At 35.7% G+C, this 24,535-nt stretch overlaps 1 protein-coding gene across 11 annotated transcripts in view; it reads left to right on the top strand.

Moving 5' to 3' along the window:
- Positions 1-24,535, top strand: part of ERBB4 (erb-b2 receptor tyrosine kinase 4) — a 1,163,086-nt gene that overhangs the window by 799,148 nt on the left and 339,403 nt on the right. For 10 of the 11 annotated variants that reach the window (NM_001042599.2, NM_005235.3, NM_001439006.1 and 7 more), the window contains 2 exons: positions 14,461-14,579; positions 17,121-17,262. In NM_001042599.2, coding sequence (NP_001036064.1) covers positions 14,461-14,579; positions 17,121-17,262 — 261 coding nt within the window. Of the gene's footprint in view, positions 1-5,035; positions 5,415-14,460; positions 14,580-17,120; positions 17,263-24,535 lie in introns of those variants that run through there. The other variant, XM_017003582.2, reaches the window with a different exon arrangement.

Here is a 24,535-nt window from a genome sequence, read left to right as displayed (position 1 = left end):
TGCCAAAACACAAAATTACAAAAATTAGCTGGGCTTGGTGGCATGTGCCTGTAGTCCCAGCTACTCGGGACACTGAGGCAGGAGAATCGGTTGAACCTGGTAGGCAGAGGTTGCGGTGAGCCAAGATCACACCACTGCACTCCAGCCTGGTGACAGAGCGAGACTCTGTCTCAAAATAAATAAATAAATAAATAGCCAGATGTTTGAAAAGAATAACCTTGTGGAATCATTTTCCCTATCAAGTATTAAAATGTTAAAAAGTAATAATTATTAAAACAGTGTATAACTGGTTCAGAATGGTATTGATTAAATGGAATCTAACAAAGTTAGACATTTGGAGGCAAATGTCTACAGTGATTTAGTTTTTACAAAGGTGACATTTTTTAAAAATGACAAAAGCATAGATTATTTAACAAAGAGAGTATGAATAAATGGCTCACTTATGGAATAAGATAATGTTAGATCCCTACAATAAAACAAAAGGCATAAGATGGGTAGTACATTAAAAGTCTAAAGAGCATAGGATAGACTATATATAGTCTATATTTAGATAGACCTATACAGATTGATGAATTATAGATTAAAAATTTAAAAACATGTGATATAACTGGAAGTACTAGGAAAAAATATAGAGATAAAAATTACAGAATGATGACTGCCTTTTTAAACATGACATAACAAATACAAAATAAAATATAAGAAAAAGATCATTTTCTGGCCAGCCACAATGGTTCATGCCTGTAATCCCAGCATTTTAGGAGGCCAAGGCAGGTGGATCACTTGAGGTCAGGAGTTTGACCTGTCTACTAAAAATGCAAAAAATAGCCGGGTATGGTGGTGAGCACCTGTAATCTCAGCTATTTGGGAGGCTGACGCATGAGAATCGCTTGAACCCAGGAGGCAGAGGTTGCAGTGAGCCAAGATCACACCATTGCACTCTAGTCTGGGCGACAGAGGAAACTCCATCTCAAAAAAAAAAAGAGGGCCGGGCGTGGTGGCTCATGCCTGTAACCGCAGCACTCTGGGAGGCCAAGGCAGGTGGATCACCTGAGTTCAGGTGTTCAAGACCAGCCTGGCCAACATGGTGAAACCCTGTCTCTACTAAAAATACAAAAAATTAGCTGAGTGTGGTGGCAGAGACACCTGTAGTCCCAGCTACTCAAGAGGCTGAGGCAGGAGAATCCCTTGAACCTGGGAGGTGGAGGCTGCAGTGAGCCGAGATCATGCCACTTCACTCCAGCCTGGGCAACAGAGCAAGACTCTGTCTCAAAAAAAAAAAAAAAAAAAAAAAAACAAAAACAAAGGAAAAATTACTTTAACTGCATTATAGTTAAGTATAGTTTTGTATTTTTAAAATAATTTTAATTAAAAAGAATTGAACATTTATACAAGAAATCTGCAAAAAATACTTGACATTACTTATAATCAATGACATACAACTTTATAAATTAAAAACATATTCAGATAACTCCTAGTAAGAAAGAAAGTATGAGCTTGGAACAGTATCAGTTATTCTTGGTAGATTATAAATAGGTAAAAATCACCATGTAGACTAATTAGTCATTTGTATCAAAGTTTTAAAAATATGCATTTTCTTGAACCACGAAATGTATTATTTTAACACTTAGATTATCATATGCATGAAACGAATGTTCCATAGTATATATTACAGCAGTATTTATAATAGTAAAAAATACAAACATTGCAAATAGCTTAGAAAGGGGATTCAGGGTATATTCATACAATAGTATAATATAGAGCTTTAAAAAATAATACAGCAGAAGCATATTTATGCTTCTACAAAAGACAGTTAATGATATAATATTTAGTTAAAAATACCAAGCTATAAAGCGAGATAATAACTACCATTCATCGATTACTTAACAATACCAAGAGCCAATATTTATATAATGTTCACTGCATGTTAGGCACTATTCCAAATTAATAATTTCCCATAATACATAAAATCTTTGTAACAGCTTCATGAGGTAAGTACAGTTGTTATTTTTATTTTATAGATGAAAACCTAAATCACAGAGAGGTTAAGCAATGTGTCTAATCTGGCACAGCTATTACGTAAAGTGAAAATTAGCTATTATGTAAAGTCAAAATTATGTAAAGTCATCTCCAGAGAACTTCCTGTAGTTATCCATTGTGCCGGTTTTGTACTAACAGTTTCACATGTATTATCTCATTCCAACCTCATGAATCATTTCGGTATATACACTGGAAATAAGGTAGGAGAGACAAGAAGAAGTGGGACTAGAGAAAGTTCTGAAGGAGGAGAATATGAGATTTCTGCATGTAGAGAAATGTGGATTGATGGGATAATTTTCTGGAGGCAGGAAGGGAGATTGTGTCCCCTTCCTGGATTTGAAAATTGTAAAGATCTGAGTTATTTTGAATTACTTTTAATTGTGTGTTTTGTGTTCTCTTAACTCTCATACTAGTGTGGAACCATAATAGGGATGTCAAGCATTCACAGAGACTCAAAAGTTGACATTGGTTGTTACTGCTGGAGTAAGAGAACAAATGAATTGTTTTTAATTCTGCATATCTGTAGTTACTTATATTTCCCTGAAAATAGGTACTGCATATGTAATTTCAGAATTTTAAGAAAGTAAGTAACAACAAATATAATAAGTAATACCCTCTTTATCGCGACATGACTTTTTTGGTAAATGTTGAGGACTTCCGAACTTTTGTCCTGAGCAGAGAGATTATAATTTTTTTATCAATATATTAATCATGCATAAAAGCTTTAATATCTATAGATTATATTATTTTCTATAAATATATTGCTTGGAGAGGATCCAAAAAGTTGTTTTGTATTGGCCCACAATTTAATATACTGCCATGTAGGAGAAATTCAGACTGAACGATCCCAAATTTCCAGTAATTATGGTGGGAATAAAAAGCACAAACCTCTGAGAATGGTCAGTCTCAATGGCACAATTCTGAAGATAAGGCATTATGGCAGGCTGTATTGTGCAGTGATTTTCCATATCCTCTAGAATCCTAAAACTTCAGAAAAGGGAAATTTTATCACCAGTGGCTCTAAATTCCTGAATTCATTAGAAGGCTAATTTGCTGTACATATATAAGAAGAGCACAGAGATCGGTTTCTCTAATTTCTTAATTTGACCTTTGTTCATGCAATAAGACAATGCTTTCAGATTGCTGGTTGCAACTTGTTAGTAGATTATAAAATCACTTCAGTACACCCTGCCCAACAATACATTTTTATTGAAATAAGATACATTGGAATAAAATTGACCAGAAAAGGCAGTATCAAAATGCTCTTGCACTGATTAGGCTCAGCATTATTCCTCAAAACATTTCATCAAGGATATGTGTACTGAGCCATAATACAATGTTATTTGTACTGTAAATTGTTATTTTTTAAAAATCAAAAGTTTGAAAAACACTACAAAGGTGCATTATGTGACTTGTAGGAGGACATGATTATCTTTTTTTTTTTTTCCTTTTTTTGAGACAGAGTCTTGCTGTGTTGCCCAGGCTGGAGCACAGAGGCACAATCATAGCTTACTCTAGCCTTGAACTCCAGGGCTCAAGTGATCCTCCTGCCTCAGCCTCCCAAGCAGCTAGGACTACAGGTGCACACCACCATGCCTGGCTATTTTGTTTTTCCTTTTTTCTTTTTGGTAGAGACAAGGTCTCATTATGTTGCCTAGGCTAGTCTCGAATGCCTGGGCTCAAGAGATCCTCCTGCCTCAGCCTCCCAAAGTGCTGGGATTACAGACGTGAGCCACTCTGCTTGGCCTGATTATCTTTTTTAAGAAGATAATCCCAAACGTGTTCTATGAGGAGAAAAGCAAAACATATTCTTCTGTATATACTCAAAATGTGCTTGTGGTATAACTCTTTTAAATGGTTTCCTCAAAAGGTCTCTTTTTCTGAGGTATAGACTTCAGTGTTGGCCCTCTCTGGGTCTGAGATTTAAAGAGTATTTGAGTAATATCTTAGTTTTCATTGTTGGCCCTCTCTGGGTCTGAGATTTAAAGAGTATTTGAGTAATATCTTAGTTTTCATTATCATCACTCACAATCATGGTAGTTAAAATAGCATCAGCCAAGCTGTTTTTCAGAGACGTAATGCAGACACGTGTTTGATCACTTTAGCTATTTGGCGTTGTATTTAAAACAGTTTCCAAAACTATCTTCCTCTCCCCTTTTAGTCCTTTTGATTTTTACATTTAGGCACCTTCTATTTGTGACTCTTAACTTGATGAAAACATGTAAATGAAGATATATAGGAGTCAGAAAACTAATTTTAAACTCCACTTTGATAATAACTTATGATTTGACCTAGGATAAGCTAGTTTTTAAATGTTAACTTCTTCATCTGTAACACTGGGATAATTAACTTGCTCTGCCAAATGCACAGGTTATTTTAGTATAGTTTTTTTTTTAAATTCATGTGATACTCAGGTCATAAAGTTAAAAATAATAATGCCTTCCCATCAGTAAATATGCTTCCCTCAACCTACATTTTTTTATAAAGTGATTACTTTATGGTAATATTTGGTATATGTGTGTGTATTTATATTTACATATACACATAAGCACATAAAAGTTGTGGGATTTTGTTCTGTGTGTTTTACAAAAATATGTATGCCATGTCTATTCGTCTATCACTTTTGTTTCACTTCACATTATATTTTTAAAATCCTTTCATTTCAGGACATAGAGAACAATCCGTCTTTTTTTTTTTTTTTTTTTTTTGACAGAGTCTCGCTTGTCGCCCAGGCTGGATTGCAGTGGCTGCACTGCAGGGGCTCTGCCTCCCAAGTTCATACCATTCTCCTGCCTCAGCCTCCCGAGTAGCTGGTACTACAGGCGCCCGCCACCACGCCTGGCTAATTTTTTTGTATTTTCAGTAGAGATGGGGTTTCACCATGTTAGCCAGGATGGTCTCGATCTCCTGACCTCATGATCCGCCCGCCTTGGCCTTCCAAAGTGCTGGGATTACAGCCGTGAGCCACCGCGCCCAGCTTTTTTTTTTTTTTTTTTTAATGCTACAGCTATTTCCCTAGTTATGGTTGTGCTATAATTTACTTAACCAATTCCTCATTAGTGGACATTTAGGTTACATTGTATTATTCTCAGTTACAACTAATGAACATTTTTCTATACATATTTGTCCACAGATGCACATTCTTCTGTAAGTCAGATTTCTAGAAATAGAACTGCTTGGTCACATGTGAATTTACATACACAAATTTGATAGAGACAAATTAGTCTTCAAAAAATCATGTATCAATTTATACACCCACTAATAGTTTGCCCAATTCTTCACCCTCATCAAAACTAGAAACTTCCTGGAATGCTCTGAAGAAGTGGTGATCTGTCTTAGAGATGTCTGAACATTACTTTAGATTTGCTCATAAACAAGTAAGTTTATTTCAGTTTTAATTTTCTCATCAATAAAATGAGAAATTTGGACTTGATGGTATTTATTGTTTCAACAGATATTTGTCCATTGTTTACCTAATATGATGTTCTTTTTTTAATTTTAACATTCTGTATTTTCAATTTTTAAAAATATTTTTGAGACAAAATTTTTAAATATTTATTATTTTTTCAAAATTTTTTAAATATTTTCTGCTGCATGGCCCAGGCTGGAGGACAGTGGCATGATCTCAGCTCGCTGCAACCTCAGTCTCCCGGGTTCAAATGATTCTCCTTCCTCTGCCTGGCTAATTTTTGTATTTTTAGTAGAGACAGGGTTTCTTCATGTTGGCCAGGCTGGTCTTGAACTCCTGGCCTCAAGTGATCCGCCTGCCTCTGCCTCCCAAATGCTAGGTGTATAGGTGTGAGCCACCACTCCTGGCCCTTCTGTGGGTATTTTTATTGCAAAATTGAGTGAGAGAGAGATTATATTTGTTTTCTTCTACTAATATTTTGGATAGGGAACTAGAATAAGCAAAAGAAAGAAAGTAAATTTTTTTTTTTTGGTTTTTGTTTGTTTTTCTATCAGGTTAGATGTGGAGATGTCTGTTATAATGCACAGTGATTTAAAAAATTTGAATACCAAATTTTCCATATTTCTTGGTTTATGAAAGATCTATGATATAATTATGACTTTTTTTTACTACTTTATCTGCAGCCTATCATTTATAGGCAGATTTTAAGGTGCAGACCTCAATTCTAATTTTTAAAAATATTCTTAAAAATACTATGGTATTCTTACGCAGATTCATACTCTTCCTTTATTGCCTTGAAATCAATATCTACAGGCCTGTGAGGAATATGCAAAATAACTCTTACTCACTCTCAAGAATATTTTTATAGTTAACGTAACAAGGCAATATTATTTTTTGAATCTTCACTCACAAACTGTGGAGATGCTAATAGCCTATTAAGAAGGGAGAATTTCCCTGGTGACCAAGTGTGTAGTTTATAATCAGCTTTAAGGTCCCTCAATGAATCATTGATCATGTCTTTATTAAATAGGTTGAATAAAACTTCATTAAATAAATGAATAAAGCAGGTGGTGATAAGGAATGGATTAGACAGAATCCCTTACCTCTTTGACACAACTAACAATATTATCATGTCATAGTCCGTGGGTCACCAGGGATTCATCAGGTCAAACCTGATTAGTAGCTGCCAAAATATGGGCCTACTCTTTTTTTGTGTTTGTTTTTTGTTTTTTGAGACGGAGTCTCACTCAGTCACGCAGGCTGGAGTGCAATGGCATGATCTTGGCTCACTGCAACCTCCGCCTCCCGGGTTTAAGTGATTCTCCTGCCTCAGCCTCCTGAGTAGCTGGGATTACAGGTGCGCGCCACCATGCCTGGCTAATTTTTGTACTTTTTAGTAGAGACGGGGTTTCTTTTTTAGTAGAGATGGGGTTTCAGCATGTTGGTCAGGCTGGTCACTCGTGACCTCGTGATTTGCCTGCCTCAGCCTTCCAAAGTGCTGGGATTACAGGCGTGAGCCACCATGTCCGGCCTGGCCCTACTTTTATTAACTGACTCTGAATGTCAATTTCAGTAGCGACTGTACAGCTATTTGCTATGTTTTCCAGGGGAATGACAGAGGTTATTGCATTTTGGATTAAACAGTTATTTTACATGTGGGGTATATACTTCATGATATGGCCTGGTCGGTTTATTTAGAGTAGCTATCACCAAACCAATTAGGAATTAGGAATAAAAGAAAATTAGTCGTATTTTATTTTGTATTGTGAAAATGTGTATGATTGTGGTCATTTAGAAGCCCAGATACTTTTTGATAATTCCATTTTGCTAGGTCTAATTTTTTTTTTCAAAAAAGACCTCTGAGAGCCTTTTTAAATATGTTAGATAATACACTGTGGCTGGTTAAAAGAATTGAAAAATCCTTAAAGTGCAAAATTATTTTCCTGTAAAAATTAGGATATAGGCTTATGATGAAGCCTTCCTCTGTGAGGCAACAATTTTTGACTTATTTCTTCTGCAATTTAATATGAGATAGGAAAGAGCGTTCTAGTTTAAGACCAACCCAGCTCTGACTCTGCCTTTCCATCTATGGGAACCTTTCATTAGAAATAAGAGAGTGCCTTAGAGCAGAAGTTTGGAAATATTGGCTTATAAAATCTACTTCTAAAAATCTTAAGGCTCCAAATAAAAAAAAAAAATGAATTTTCTGACACCTTCCCCAGACTTACTGAGTCAGAATATAGGAGATGGGCCAGACATCTTTATTTTAAGTCTTTCTACTTGGCTTTTAGTTTCTACCTGGCCCTGGACACACAAATGTGTTCAATTATTCTCCTTTGGAAGAATGAATAACAGTGTATAGTTTGGCATTAGTTTCATTGAACCTGATTTTTTACACATGCTCTGTAAGTAACGCCTCTTCTTGGATGGTCTGTGAGCTTTATTTGTTTCACTTTAAGTGTATCCTGTTGATGATAGCTTTCTTAAAACATGTTACACAACCCAAAGTGTTCAGTTTTTTAGTCACAATTTCATCATTAATAGGAATAAATTTTGAATCTTAGAGCTAGAGGGTACCTCTAGAGAACATTTCATCAAGCCTCCTATCTTTAATTAAGTGGATGTCTAAAGCATGTAGAAGAGATTTCTTTTAAAATACTGACAAATAAACACTTAAGAAGCCCATTACAGTGTTTTTATCCCTCTAATAGTCAGTAATTCTTCCTCACATCCAACCCATATCACCTCTACTTTAACCCAAGTATTTCTCCCTTCTAGTTCAAACCTCCAAGTATGTAACTGGAAACAGTGTAATAAAAACATTCCATTCAAATACTATCTAGTTATTGAACATATGTTTTATGATCATAATTTGTCAAAATTTTGACACAAAAATAGAATAGAGGCAGCATAGAGGTATGAGTCTTTGAATAAAAACTGAAATAAAATTTTAAAAAATAAAATAAATATGCTTTAAAATGTGCTTAGCAGTGCAATTGGGGATTGCCCCAAGATACTTTTCACTCAGACAGCTGCTGGGTGAGAGAAGGGAAGTTTTCTACTGGTATTTCATTTATCCATAATGTTTGCCTTCAGAACCAGTGAGGCAATATTTCCATCGAAAATATAGGTAATTTCCCTCCCAAATTTTCCTATATCTACTTGCACATCAATTTTTGTTTGTTTGATTTTCCAATTAGTGATAGGGACCTTTACAACACAAATAGGAAATTAAAGCAAGAAGTCACTGTGATTAAGTTTCAGACAAGGAATAATCAGTCAGTCAATCAGATGGTGTAAATGACTTAAAATTTTTTTCTCCCATTTCTCCCATTGGTTAGAATAAAGGTTCTCAACTCTAGACTGAATATTGGAATCCCAGGGAGCTTATTAAAACTACCAAAGCTTCTAGAAAATTGCCAGCGATTTTGATTTAATAGAAACTAGGTGATTCTCAGGTATTGTATTTTTTGAAACTACTCTATATTCTGCTACTCAATATGGGGTATGTAGATGAGTAGGTAGAGACATTACCTGGGAGCTTAATAGAAATGGGCTTATTAAAAAGTCTTGGGCCCCACTGATACCAACTGAATGAAAAGTTTTACTTACAGAAGAATTCCAGTATTCAAGTTTGAAAGACTGTTAGTTGATCTAATATACAACCCAGTTCAGAACCACTGGTTAGAGGAAATGAAGATAATCAAAAGGCACTGAAGGAGAGAAGACAGAGGAGATAGGGAAAGAGGAAGGAGATGGGGGAGGAGGAGGAAGTGTCAGAGTGTAAAAAGACACAAAGACTTTGCCTAAATTTATCCTTATTTCTATTGTTAACGGGCGAACAGAGATCTTTTGTCTTGTCACTGTGATGTCAGTGCTCTGTTTTGCATTATTTATGAATATTCTTTGTCTTTTTTGCTATTGTTGCTAGGAAGCAACAATAAATATTTAATTAGTAAATTGCCAAGCTTCTTCAAGTAAAATAAATTTGTCCTAAGGGAGTAACTTTAATCACAGTATTGGTTATCATTATATTGAAAGAAGTAATTAAGCCATAGTTCTTATTAGTGAGATACTGATAAGATTAAGCTACTTAATGATTTTTTAATATTTTTTGACTTGATAGACATTCTCTCAGTAGTATTGGCTTACCATGAATTGTTTGATTCCTTAAATGTTACCCGTCTAATTCTCATGGATATTTTGAATGAATTCACATTCCCCATGTCAAGTTTACTGACCCGAATATAAGAAGTTTAACGTCCCAGTTTTAAATTTTATATTAATCACATTTAGTGCATACCGCCAATGAAAAAGCTAGTGAAAATTGGACCCAAATATTTTAATGCACCCAGTGAAGCAATTTAGAAAGGAAACTAAATACAAGGAAAAAAATGTAATGAAATATTTGAGCAAGGATGGAATTAATAAAAACCAAAGCAATTATAAGTTAATGTTCCTATAGAGGCTGACTTATCTCATTGATTTCAGGAATTATTTTTTGTTTTGTGTCCCCATTGTAATAAAATATGAGTATAATTTGATGAGTTTATTCACATTAAATAATGCTTATTAATCAAAAAATGCTACTAAATAAATTTACTCTATGGTGCCTTTCCACTTGTCTTGCATGTAGCCTTGAATTGTACAAAGGGAATGTTTTCTTTCTTGTTACAAGTCTCATATAATAATATAAAGAAATATTTTTTTTAACCCCATTACTGTTTAGCAGTTAAGCTTGTTGTTTTGTTCTTTTTGCCTACCTTTTATGTGTCCAAATGCTTCATGCTTACTGAATTTTCGTTTGGAATTAAGGGATATAAAAATGTTGATGGTGAAAAGCCCTATATTTAAAGTTGAATGTAATTTACTTTGAAAAAAATCAATTATAGACTGATTTTGGAAAATGAAAGCCATAACTCCCTTTTAACATGTTAAATAAAAATTGTGGAATGCATCTGCATTTGGATAATAATTTAGAGGAATTTTTCTGCATGTTTCTAAAAGGGAATATAATATCAGAAATCAGTGTGTCCTGAAAAAATATTAAATATTTGAATACTATGTGGAAAAGTTGCTATTTTCAAAAATTTTAAGTTTTCTTCCACACAAATGATTAAATAATTTAAAATATTTTAATAGTTCCACAGTATAATAATTGCTATTGAATCTAAGATTGTACTACATTGGATTATATTTGTATAATATTATTTTCATATTTAAATAGTGTACTCAATGAGAGAAATGATTTTAACGTGAACACTTAATACATAATTTTAAACTACATTCAGGGTTACTTGTCTTATCATTGTAATTATTTTCTACATTAATTTTCTCATTTGGCAGGAAAAACCAAAGTAAATACAGAGAAACTGAAACATTTTGTCTAGTTACTTTAAATCACCATGGAGTTAAAAATAAAAAGTAACACTTAGACATATCTGTCTATGATTAAAATATGATGTGACTTATAAGATTGTTGACTCCATGCTATTGTTTTCCAGCTGAGCAATAGCTGTCAAATAGAAGCAAATTGATAAACTCTCCTGTGATAACACATTTCAAATCTAGTTATTTATTTATTTAACATATGTCTGCTATTTTAATTAGCGACTGTTGATGCATCGAAGCACTTTATTGAATTTGGAAGAGAAGAATTGTGTTTGAATTTATTCTGTACAAAACTGTCTGTTAAAAGTGTTTCCTTTAAAAAATGTCATTTATATTGTATGAATTACTAATTAGGGCATCTAAACAAATATACCACTTGGTTAAAAGATAGAAATATCAATATAAGCATAATGTATGACATGAAGAGTTAATGAAAGGATACAAATTGTTTGGGTACATATCATATATATATATATAATGTGTGTATCAAATATAAATAAAACTATGTAAGTGCCAGTTACAGTTACAAACATAGTAATACACCTAGAAACAAAATAAATGGAATAAATAATAATATGTTAGATGGTAATTGATGCTGTAACAAAATACAGGAAGGAAGGAAGGGAGATGAAAGAAAGAGAGAGAAAAAAGAAGATGAAGGTTCATAAGGAGTCAGTTGATTGGGAAAAATTCAGTATTAAACAGGGGCAGACTTCAATACAAAGGTGTGATTTGGTCAAAGACTTAAAGAAAGTGAAGGGACAGTCCAAGGGGATTTATTATGCAGAATTTTGTACCAGGATACTAATAGAAGAAATAATTTATTTTGAAGTTTAATGTAACCAAAATTGCAAATACAAAATATACGTTCACAAACCCAGATATAAAAATTTGATTATTTTCCAAATCTTCTATAAGCTTATGGTAAAAAATAGCATGTAACCTTATTTTTACAAAATAAAAAACATGACAGAGGGTGAGTCCAAGTGCCATTTTAGTTTAAACTTTATTTGATGTTTGTATTGGTTGTACTACATAGAGAATAATTAATTAATCATGTCAAATGGAAGAATATTCTTTATCTTTCAATATTGTGCATTATTTTATGAATATCATCATCATGTTCAATGGAAAAGGATCCAATTAAAAATATGAAATCATGAACTAATCAACAGCAGAATTTAAGGAGCATTTAAATCCTAGTATTTTAATATTTGTCTCTTTATATTTCTTAGTGACCTATCTCTTTAACTCTATACACCTTTTTATCTCTCTGATAAATATATTAAGCCCTGAGGAGATACTGCCATTGAGTTGGCAATATATGATTTACCTATTTACTTGAAGGGAATACTGCCTTATATTGTGTATTAAGTACCAAACCCTGTGTTTATCACTGAAAATTAAAACTTAAGTAAGACAATAAACTTCAATAAACCCATAGGTTAGTTGGGGTGAGGTAGAAGCAAACTTGAAAAAAATACAAATGTATAAGTGCCATAGAAATATCTAAGTTGATGAGCACTGTTAATAGGGACCATGTAAAGCACTTTATACCTGTATATTTATCTTCAATCCTATTAGGTGGGTACTAACTCCATCTTAAAAATGGTGAAGTAAAATACAGAATGGTTAAATAACTTGCCCATATAACGTGGATATATTTTGGATTTGAGCCTAGATCTTCAGACTACATAGACTGCTGCATTAACTTTATCTTCTTGCTTGTTCAGAAGCAATAGTGAGAAAATAACTCAGCTTGGAGCTGTGTCTGGAAAGGTTTCAGAGCAAGTATTTCCTAGGCTGAGAAGCTAGGAAGGATTTTTAACATGGAGAAATGCCTTGTGAAGAAGCAATGAGAATCACAACTTAATTGCAAGTAGTGTTTCTATCTGGCTGGACGTGAGAAACAGAGTAATGTGATTCCTGGAAGGGCAGAGATGGTGGTCAACTTATGGAGGGCTTTTGTCCCTTGCTTAAGGTTTAATCCTTTAGTACGGGGATGGTCATAAGTTTCATACTGTGAATCAACACTGATTTATAGGCGTTGGCTTACAGGTTCAAGCCATTACTTTTAGGGCATTGTGGAGGATTAACTGGAAGGAAAAGATGGGATCTGAGAAAACTTTTAGAACACTATGTAATCATTTAGAGATAGGCTTTTGAATAAAGTTAGAATAGAGAGGAGGGAAAGTACTGAGGAATATTTAGAAAACTATTGCTAATACTTGGCAATTTTATTAGGTAGGAGAAGTGATGATAAGAGGATAGGAGACAGAAAATACATTGCAAATTACTAGCAAGCTACTGGATATATGGTGCTTCCATTAATTGAGATAAGGGAACTTAGAAAAGAAATACACTCAGTAGTGGGTGTGGGAAGAAGAGTTATGTTCTGTTTTGTACACCTTGCATATCAAAATGGGGACTTCTGTAGACAGCTAGAAATGCATGCTGTAGCTCCACAGAGAACTCAATTCTAGATCTGAAAGTCATTTACTGGTAGACAGTATGCTAAGTAGAAGATGAATGACTTTTATCCAGGAATGAGCCCATAGTCCCCCCAAAATTGTCAAGAACAGGTCTGGGGAATGCTAATGTTTATGAGGCAGAGTCTTGATAAGGTAGGAACAAAGAAAGCTTAGAAGATCTGTTTGAAAATATAGGAAGAAACAAGGCTGAAGTGGAAATACAGAAACCAGGAAGTGATATACTATACATATCCTGTAAAATTCATACCTTAAATACCCTAAAAATATTTTTGGAATAAGTGAGATAAGCAGAATTGTGTCTCTTATTGCTATAATGTTGATGGATAGCCTTTCGTATTGCTTTTACTAAAGTATACCTCGATATGATGCTGTCAGCTTGGATTGAAGCATGTTATAAGAAAAGACCAATGATGATTTTTGTTGTGTTTACTATTAATGGCTTTCTTTCCTTCCTTTTTTCTTTCCTTCCTCCTTTCCCTCCCCTTCCTTCCTTCCTTCCTTTCTTTCCTCGTGTAAAATATTATGTGAATTAACTTAACATTTATGTGTCCCTTTTCTGCATTGACTACTAAAAGTCTTAGACCCATTTCTGGGGACACCTTCTACTAGGACCTTACTATGCACATTGTGTGAATTGACTTCACCTTTCCTAGCCTGCCAAATGTCTCATTTAGTTATCTCAATTTTCCTTTGTTTTTAATTTTAGAGACAGAGTCCCACTATGCTGCCCAAGCTGGAGTGCAGTGACTATTCACAAGTGCAGTCGTAGCCCACTGCATCTTTGAACTACTGGCCTCAAGCAATCCTCCTGTCTCAGTCTCCAAGTAGTTGGGATTACGGGCACACTCCACTGTGCCTGACTTCAAATTGGATTCTTTCTTGTTAAGTTGTATGATCGTCATAAGGCATTGTAATTATTTGCTGAAACAAGAAAGAATATAAAAATGAAATAATTATAAATTAATTTTGGAGATTTTTGTATAAAAATTTTGATCTAGTTGTAAACCTCATTCATTAAATGTTTGCTGAATTGAGTCAAAGACAGGGTGAGAAATTGTCACTCCAGAACTCAGCTTATGAGTTTCTCCTGGTGGCAGACTTTGATCATGGTCCTATCTCTGTCTTCTGCAGTGACAAGGACGGTGTGTGCAGAACAATGTGACGGCAGATGCTACGGACCTTACGTCAGTGACTGCTGCCATCGAGAATGTGCTGGAGGCTGCTCAGGACCTAAGGACACAGACTGCTTTGTATGTCTGTGATTTCTCTCTTTTATTATCCTGCTCTCCTTTCCTTCCCTATTTGATTCAGGCATACTGAATCTTTGTCTTATTACAATCAGATCAACTTTAGCCACTTTAGGATTAAGAAAAATGCTCTGCCCTCCTCAAAGTCATTCCCTCACTAGGTTGTCTACTGATTAACTAGAATTGTTCTATTAAATGAATTGTATATTTCTGATATAATTTATGTTACAAATGAGGTTCATTGGAGAACATATTGAGATATCTTTTTATAATCTAATAACATCCTTTCCAGTAATGCGGTGATTACCTGTTTATGTGGTTGCATCACTGAGTTCTGCAAGTGGGAGCAATTGCATTTTATTTCTTGAATATAAATTTCAAGATTATAGAAGATATACTTATGAGTTTCAGTATTTTCTAGTTTATATTTTAAAGGTAATATTATTTTAAAAGTTTAAGATTTATAAATAGTTTGTTAGGGACAGTTTTTAATTATATTTTGATATCATATTCCTGACACAGTACTCTTTGTCTTTGGCATACATGTCAGCAATTTTGAGTTGTATTTAACTCAATTTCATATACCGAGAACACCAGCTTAATTTTAAAGCTAAAAATCGTAAAAATACACAAATGTTTATATAGTTGAAAATGAACACAGAAATTTTTTTCTCTCAAATATCCAGCAAACATATGTAGTAGAATTGAGCTTTTTTTAAAAAAAAAAAAAGAAAGACACTTAATTCCAGCAATGAGCAAACCATATATTAAAGCTCTTATGATATAGACAGTAATTTCTTAGTTTTCTTAATATCATAAGGAATATAATCTTCTATACTCATTCTATAGTGAAACAAAAATATGTATTGCAGAAATGGATAGGGAGGAAGAAGAAAAGGAAATAAAAATGTTAAAAATTTAAAGAAGATACTCAGTAGGTCTTGAACTGAGAACCTTCCTCTGTCTTTCATCAGACGTAGGATGGAAGCTTGATTCTGAAGACATTGAACACTGCAGGTGTTTCATTAACAATTCCAAAACAATAACAACAATAAACAGCAATAGCAAAAACTCTTAGAAGTTTTGCATGCAGTTTTTGTCATGGTTCCATTATCATGATAAGCACAGTGCTGAGTGAGCTTCAAATTATCATTTCATTACTTTTATGGAACGGTCTAATGATTCCACTTTGGCTTTTGGTACAGAATGTTCAAGAATGCCAGACTAAGGCCTTGGTGTAAGTTACATTGTTTTGTATGCTGTCGCAAAGCTAAATTTGTTTTATTCCTCTGACTTATGTTCCTTTGTTCCTGAGCAATCTGTGTACAGCATTGCATAAAATATGTTAGTAAAGCAATTATAAGGACACATGAAATTTTATAACCATAAATTAAAACTTACTGAGTTTTCTAGATTGGTTCTTAATAGATTCTTCCTAGAATGTGTCATCTTAGTGAATAATGTGTCATCAGTAAGTCTTGTTCTGATTATGCATCTAGTAGACCATCATCAGGGAATTGTCATGTTTATGATAAAGTGCTTGCTAAAACAACAATTGATGAAGCAATGTTTTGAGGAAACAGAATAAATTAATGCTTATTAATAACCATATGTACTATTTATGATTAAATGTAAATCATAGCTTGAGTTCGTATTAGCTTGCTTTCCAAGGCCCAAATCATTCCTAAAATGGCTTAATTTCTTAATTGAAAGAATTAGCTCATCCACATTTTTGTTAATCACATGTTTATATGTACTTACACATATATTCTGTTTTTATATCAAGTACCTACCTCTCAGGTAATAAAATGGTTTTTAATTCTTCCCAAATGAATTTGAAAATATTAATAAATTGAGTTATGAATATAAATATACGAGTCAGCAGAAATGAACTGTCTTCTACATGGTAGCTTTTACTAAATGGAGTGGCATTAGGAAAAAAGCCATACTAGAAATGACATCATATTATTTAATTACAGGCCAACTGTAGCTAATTACCTCTTTACATTTTGGCATTACATGCACTGTATTTGTATTTGGCTAGTCACCAGCCAGAGCCTTTTCTTTAAGTCCGATATAAATCACCATCACAATGTTTTCTTACAGGACAGTGGTGATAATTGTACTTTACATGTCATTTGGGATATGGAACTCTTTAAAATACCAGCTCAAGTGGACATCTAGCCTGTAGAATTAGGGATTTGGTTGTCAGTGCTATACTTTAAGACTAAATATAAATGCTTTGAATAAGTGTGAACTCAAATAATTTTTCACTATTAGCTAACTTTAAACCAATTCTCAGTTTAGAAATTACTGGATACAGGCTAAGCACTTTGAGCATCAGTAGCCATAAATTTTCCTATTTACTGATACTGGAAAAAAGAGTTTTATGAAATTTTGGAAACACACATGACTCTTAAATTATCAAATTTTGTAATATTTGTGGAATTATTATAGAAAAAAACTTCTCCTGTTTTGGCAGCGTTTCATTAACAAGTATTATGAGTTTATTTGTAAATGAAAGTAATATTTGCTGTGTTGCAGGCCTGCATGAATTTCAATGACAGTGGAGCATGTGTTACTCAGTGTCCCCAAACCTTTGTCTACAATCCAACCACCTTTCAACTGGAGCACAATTTCAATGCAAAGTACACATATGGAGCATTCTGTGTCAAGAAATGTCCACGTAAGTAACAGAATAAGAATAACCAAATTAATTAGGTCATTATTTGAAATCAAAAGAATTTTATGTAAGTTTATTTTAATGTGAAACTTGTAAGAATATTATAAGTACTTTGGGTATAGATACTATTGCCCCCATTTTATAAATAAAGAAACTAAACCAAAACTTTAAAGTGATTTGTGTAAAGTTTCATAGCAAAAGGATGACATGTTTGAGGTTATAAAACTCCTACTGTGGCTGGGCGCACTGGCTCACACCTGTAATGCCAGCACTTTGGGAGGCCGAGGTGGGTGGCACCTGAGGTCAGGAGTTCGAGACCAGCCTGACCAATATGGTGAAACCCCGTCTCTACAGAAAATACAAAAATTAGCCAGGCGTGGTGGCGGGCGCCTGTAGCCCCAGCTATTCTGGAGGCTGAGACAGGAGGATGGTTTGAACCTGGGAGGTGGAGGTTGCAGTGAGCCGAGACGGTGCCACTGTACTCCAGCCTGGGTGACAGAGAGAGACTCCATCTCAAAAACAGACAAACAAACAAAAACCTCTTTCTGTTTTTACTATACCACAGTATTTTTGCCTATCATACTGTTTCTCCAAAAAAGTAATTAGTTAAGTGGCAGCAAGCTGTGTAATGAATAGGATCTGCTTCTAATAACAATGGATTTTTACCTAAAATTATTTCTGATTCCTTATTTATAACTAGAATACTTAGCATTATATTTTTAATATCAAGTTAACCTTAAACAAAACATGTATATATATATATATATATATATATGTTTAATAGCAAATTAACCTTAAATAAAACATGTATATATATAAAGGGTATGTTAAAGGATCTTAAACAAATTGATAACATCCTGAGGATTCAAAAGGACCGACTTAACTTTCATCAGGTATTCAGGATAATATATTGATATTTACTTGACTCTATTTTTTTTTTTTTTTTTTTTTTGCTTTGAGTAACCAATGGGACATTTCCTATTGGAAAGGCTGAAAAAAATCACTATATATGCCCATATACTCATTTAAAAGAATTATTTATAGTCTGTGCTATACATATAATGTGACTTACTTCACTTTGTGTATGTGATACAGTAGGAAGTACAGGCTGAGCATCCACAATCCAAAAATCCAAAATCTGAAATGCTCCAATATTTGAAACTTTTAGAGTGCTGACATGTTGTCACAAATGAAAAATTTCACACCTGACTTCGTGTGATAGGTCACAGTCAAAATGCACACAACACAGTTTGTTTAGTGTTCCCAAGAGGGAAAGAAACCACACACATACACACACTCTCAGCCCCTTTCGACTGTGGTACATCTTTTCCTTGCATACCCAGATTTCCAAAGGGAAGCACACCCACAGGTAATAAAATGGCACGTGTGCAGGCCAGACACACCAATGGCAGGTTTTCCAAAGTGCCATTTTGTGGTGTTGAGATATTGTTGAAAATGTCAAAAAGGCCTGCAGCTATCCCTCCAGGTAAGGGTGGTAAAAATAAGAGGAAACATTTATGTTTATGTGTAGCTTAGAAAGTCAAGCTTTTGGAGAAATGGGAGAACGGTGTAAGTATGCAACATCATAGAGAAGAGAAGAGTACAGTGTTGGTATGAACACTTTGTGTGACCTGAAGAAACAGAAGGATAAACTGTTCTATGCTGAAAATGAATAACAGAAGTTAATGAAAAATAGAACAGCACTGAATAAAGCTAATGATAAAGATCTTGCTTGTGTACCGAAAGAGTGGATTTTTCAGCATGTAGATGAACATAAGCCACATAATGGTATGCTGATCATCAAACAGGCAAAGATCCAGCACGGTGAACTGAAAGTTGAAGAGAACTGTAAATATTCAACAGGCTGGACACAAAAATTTAAGAAAAGACATGGCGTTAAATCTTTAGAGATTCCCGGTGACAAAATATCTGCTGATCACAAAGCAGTGGAGAAATTCATCATTGAGTTTGCCAAGGTCATCACTGATAAAAATCTGACACCAGGACATTTCTGTGATGCTGATGAAACATCACTGTTTTAACATTGCTCCTCCACAAAGGCATTGACCACAGTTCATTAGACAGCCCCTGCAGGAATGAAGGATACCAAAGACAGAATGACTGGGCTGGAATGTGCTAATACAGCAGGCACACATAAATGTAAACTTGCTGTGATAGGCAAAAGCTTGCATCCTCAGTTTCCAAGGAGTGAATTTCTTACCAATTATTATGCTACTAAAAATGCATCGGTTACCGGGAACAACTTTTCTTATTGGCTTCACCCAAACATTTTATACTAGCACCTCCTGCTCATCGCTGGGAAGCTGGACTGGATGTTGAATGCAAGATTTTGTTTTTCCTTGACAACCGTTCTACTCATCCTGCAGCTGAAATTCTCATCAAAAACAATGTTTATGCCGTGTACTTTCCCTTAAATGTGACTTCATTAATTCAGCCATGTAAACAGACTATCCTTAGAGCAATGAAAAGTAAATACAAAAACACTTTCCTTTTTTTTTTTTTTTTTCTTTTCTTTGTTTTGAGACAGAATCTCGCTCTGTCACCCAGGCTGGAATGCAGTAGTATGATCTCGGCTCACTGCAACCTCTGCATCCCGGGTTCAAGCGATTCTCCTGCCTTAGCCTCCCGAGTAGCTGGGACTACAGGCACGTGCCACCATGCTTGGCTAATTTTTTGGATTTTTAGTAGAGACGGGGTTTCACTGTGTTAGCCAGGATGGTCTCGATCTCCTGACCTTGTGATTAGCCCGCCTCGGCCTCCCAAAGTGCTGGGATTACAGACGTGACCCACCGCACCTGGCCAAAAACACTTTCTTGAACAGCATGCTAGCAGCAGTGAACAAAGACCTGGGTGTGGGAAGGTTTTCAAAAGAAGCTTAGCATGAAGGATGCTGTATATGCTGTTGTCAATGCTTGGAACACAGTACTAAAGACACAGTTTTGCATGCCAGGTACAACCTCTGACCTATGACTGTGTTCGGGAAAAAGGTGGTTACTTGGAAAGATTCCCTATGTCAGGTGAGAAAAAAATAATCCTTCAGAGTCCATCAGTAAACTGGAAGAAATGGATATCACAGAAGTTTTTAACATTGATAACGAGTTGTTCCTTCATTGACTGATGGTGAAATTGCAGAAGTCGCTCTGAATCAAAGCAATCGTGGTAATAGTGACAATGAAAATGTTTTTAACATTGCACAAAAAGTTATCTACAGAAGACATGATGAAAATGTGTTATGGGCTCACTGAAGGACTAGAGCATGGTGCATTCATAACAGAACAAGAAGTCATGGGAGTTTATAAAATCAAAAAGAGACTTCTAAGACAAAATTCACTGTTAATGGGCAAATGACCCTGGAGGAAACATTTTAAAAAGCCATCCAGCAGAAAGCCCCCTTATCCCTGTAGGACCTATTCCCTGGTTTCTCAGCTGTTTCTGATGTTTCTTTTTACCTAAGAAAATAAAACAGTGTATCGTAACCTTTTAATCAAAACACAGCATCATAGATGGACACTAAAAGCCTGCATTATTTGTTGTTGTTGTTGTTTCACAGCTGATGGAGGTATTCTGGTCATTCTACTCTGATACCTAGTTATTCCAAACACATTATCTTTTCACTGTGTTAGTGGTATACCATGTTTTTTTTTTTTAGTTTTATATATTTATGTGTGAATAAGTGTAAGAATATGATTGCTCATCAGTAGTATATAAATTTAGTGTTATGAATGATGGTGATGCCAAACAACCACAGATTGTCTATGTTGATGGCTGAGATAGTGATGCCTTTGTTTCTGATGGTTCAGTGTACACAAACTGTGTTTCACACCAAACATTACTTAAAATATTATATAAAATTACCTCAGGTCATGTGTATAAGATATATGGAATCATAAAAACTGAATATTGTTTTTAGACTAGGGTTTCATCCCCAAGGTATTTCATTATGTTTATGCAAATATTACAAAATCCAAAAAATTCTGAAATCTGAAACACATCTGGTCCCAAGCATTTTGGATAAGGGATACTCAATGTGTGTAAGGGACATGGGATTAGAGTGGCTATGGATCGTGGCTTCGTTCCCTTATTAGTCATGTGATTTTTAAATAACACCTTTTGTTCTCTATTTTTTCTTCTTTAAGATGTGGGTTATAAAAATTATATCTTCTGGCCAGGCACGGTGGCTCGTGCCTGTAATCCCAACACTTTGGAAGGCTGAGGTGGACAGATCACGTGAGGTCAGGAGTTTGAGACCAGCCTGGCCAACATAGTGAAACCCCATCTGTACTAAAAATACAAAAATTATCCGGTCGTGGTGGCACACACCTGTAATCCCAGCTATTTGGGAAGCTGAGATAGATAGGAGAATGCTTATACCCAGGAGGCAGAGGTTGCAGTGAGTCGGGATCATGCAATTGCACTCCAGCCTGGGCAAAAAGAGCAAAACTCTGTCTCAAAAAATATATATATCTTCCCTCCTTTCTTTCCAGAGCCATTATAACAATCGAAGAGATAGGATATAAGGATGAGGGGGGTAGATTTTTTATTTTTTTGGAGACAGAGTCTGGTTCTGTCACCCAGGCTGGAGAGCAATGGCGCAATCTTGGCTCACTGCAACCTCCGCCTCCCGGGTTCAAGCGATTCCCCTGCCTCAGCTCCTGAGTCGCTGGGATTACAGGCACATCCACCACGCCCAGCTAATTTTTGTATTTTTAGTGGAGCCTGGGTTTCACCATGTTGGCCAGGCTGTCTTGAACTCCTGACCTCAGTTAATCCACCTCCCTCGGCCTCCCAAAGTGCTGGGATTACAGGCGTGAGCCACCGCACCAGGCCGAGAGGGGTAGATTATTTAAAAAGGCTTTGAAAACACAATTCTAGTCATTGTTATGAAACACGTTCATATCCATTAAAGTAAAAATTGTACTTTGACTTCTTTATGTATATATATGTGTGTTTAATATGTCTCTTAATTAGCATTTTAAAGTCACAGACACACTAACTCCAAGACAGCAAAGATTTTGCATCTTAAATATTTCAATATTCACACCAGTCCTTTTCATCTAATAACCTCTTATCTAAAGTCACCCTATATGTCACCATGTACCATCCTTACAAAACTGAGGGCTTGGCAGTATTGCAGGATGGGGCTAAATGATATTTTCCCTTTTCTTAGAAGCGCATTATACTACTACCTAATCTACTACCTTCAAATTAGGATGCCTTTCCCAAAGACAGTCAAAACTATGCTTTCTTGGAGTTTTTTTGGTGCTTTCCCTTTTATTCAAGTCCTTAGGTTGAAGCCCGAGGGTTGGGTGAGAGCAGAAGTACCAGGAAAATTTGAATTAGAGAATTCCCCTTTTCTTTACTATAGCCCTTATAGTGATTCACCTGAAAGCTGTCAACTCCAAACTGTAGTAAGTGGCTAAACATGAAGACCTATTGTGTGAAATTACCTGACTTGTTTACTTTAAATGTGGTAACTTACAGTCTTCCTTTCTTAGATTAGTTTGTGTATCTCAAACTACAGGCTAATTTAAAGCACTTCAGTATTTGTCTATGAAAAAATTTAAATCTCTGATGGGCCTGGCTTACATGGCTTGGTTTGCCAAATTGAAGCTTTCTTGGGAAAACAAGGACATTAAGCTTCTTCTTTTTTTTTTGTTTTTTTTTGTTTTGTTTTGTTGTTGTTGTTGTTGTTGTTTTTTGAGACGGAGTCTCGCTCTGTCGCCCAGGCCGGAATGCAGTGGCGCAATCTCGGCTCACTGCAAGCTCCGCCTCCCGGGTTCACGCCATTCTCCTGCCTCAGCCTCCCGAGTAGCTGGGACTACAGGCGCCCGCCACCAGGCCCGGCTAATTTTTTGTATTTTTAGTAGAGACGGGGTTTCACCGTGTTAGCCGGGATGGTCTCGATCTCCTGACCTCGTGATCCGCCCACCTTGGCCTCCCAAAGTGCTGGGATTACAGGCGTGAGCCACTGCGCCCGGCCTTTTTTTTTTTTTTTTTTTTTTTTTTTTTTTTGAGACAGAGTTTCACTGTTGTTGCCCAGGCTGGAGTGCAATGGCACAATCTCGGCTCACTACAACCTCCACCTCCCGGGTTCAAGCAATTCTCCTGCCTCAGTCTCCCTAGTAGCTGGGATTACAGGCATGCGCCACCATGCCTGGCTAATTTTGTATTTTTAGTAGAGACAGGGTTTCTCCATGTTGGTCAGGCTGGTCTTGAACTCCCTACCTCAGGTGATCCACCCGCCTCGGCCTCCCAAAGTGCTGGGATTACAGGCGTGAGCCACTGTGCCCGGTCGGACATTCAGCTTCTAAATGCAGGTCTACAGTTCCTAATCCAGAATTCTGAAATTTAAAAACTCCAAACATGCATTTTCTGAAACTCGTTTGGGTGCAAAACTTGAATCTAACTGATATAAGACTAATTATAATATTTGTTTATTCCATTCGGCAGAAATGTGAAAGGGTTTCATTGTAACGCATTTCCCAAGATGTATTAGTTGGTTCTTACACTGCTATAAAGAAATACCTGAGACTGGGTAATTGATAAACAAAAGAGGTACAGTTGGCTCATGGTTCTGTAGGCTGTACAGGAAGCATGAGGGGTTCTGGAGAGGGCTCAGGAAACTTTCAATCACAGTGAAGGTGAAGAGAAGCAATTATGTCTTCCATGGCCAGAGCAGGAGGAAGAGAGAGGCAGGAGGTGTGACACACTTGTAAACAACCAGATCTCATGCTAACTCACTCTTGCAACGACAACACCAAGAGGGATGGTGTTAAACCATGAGAAGCCACCCCCATGATTCATTCACCTCCCTCCAGGTCACACCCCCAATACTGAGGATTATAATTCGACATGAGATTTGGGTGGGGACACAGATCCAAACCATATCACAAGACCTTGAAGAAAGAATGGCTACTTAATATCATGTATGCACCTGTTGCAGGTTGGGTTCCCCTGAGATAGAGATTAGGTTATTAAGGAGTAGTCTCAAAATCAGCACTTTTTGGGGAAGGGAAGAAAGCAAGATTGGACTTTGATATCATCTCAACAAAGTGACTCTTTGTTGTGGTGGATGCTTTCATGTGGATATTGACTTGGAATGCAAATTTTTCCATACTTTGTACCCACTCCCATGGATTCTTTGCACCAGATTCCCTTTCTTCTCAAATTTTCCAGTATTTCTTCTCTCAGGACAAGCTCATTACTTCATATATATTCTAAGGTCAAGCAACTTCTCTTTTCATACAAAATGAGT

Source organism: Homo sapiens, chromosome 2, assembly GCF_000001405.40.
Source record: "Homo sapiens chromosome 2, GRCh38.p14 Primary Assembly".
Lineage (NCBI taxonomy): Eukaryota > Metazoa > Chordata > Mammalia > Primates > Hominidae > Homo > Homo sapiens.
This window is presented reverse-complemented; position numbering and strand designations above follow the sequence as displayed.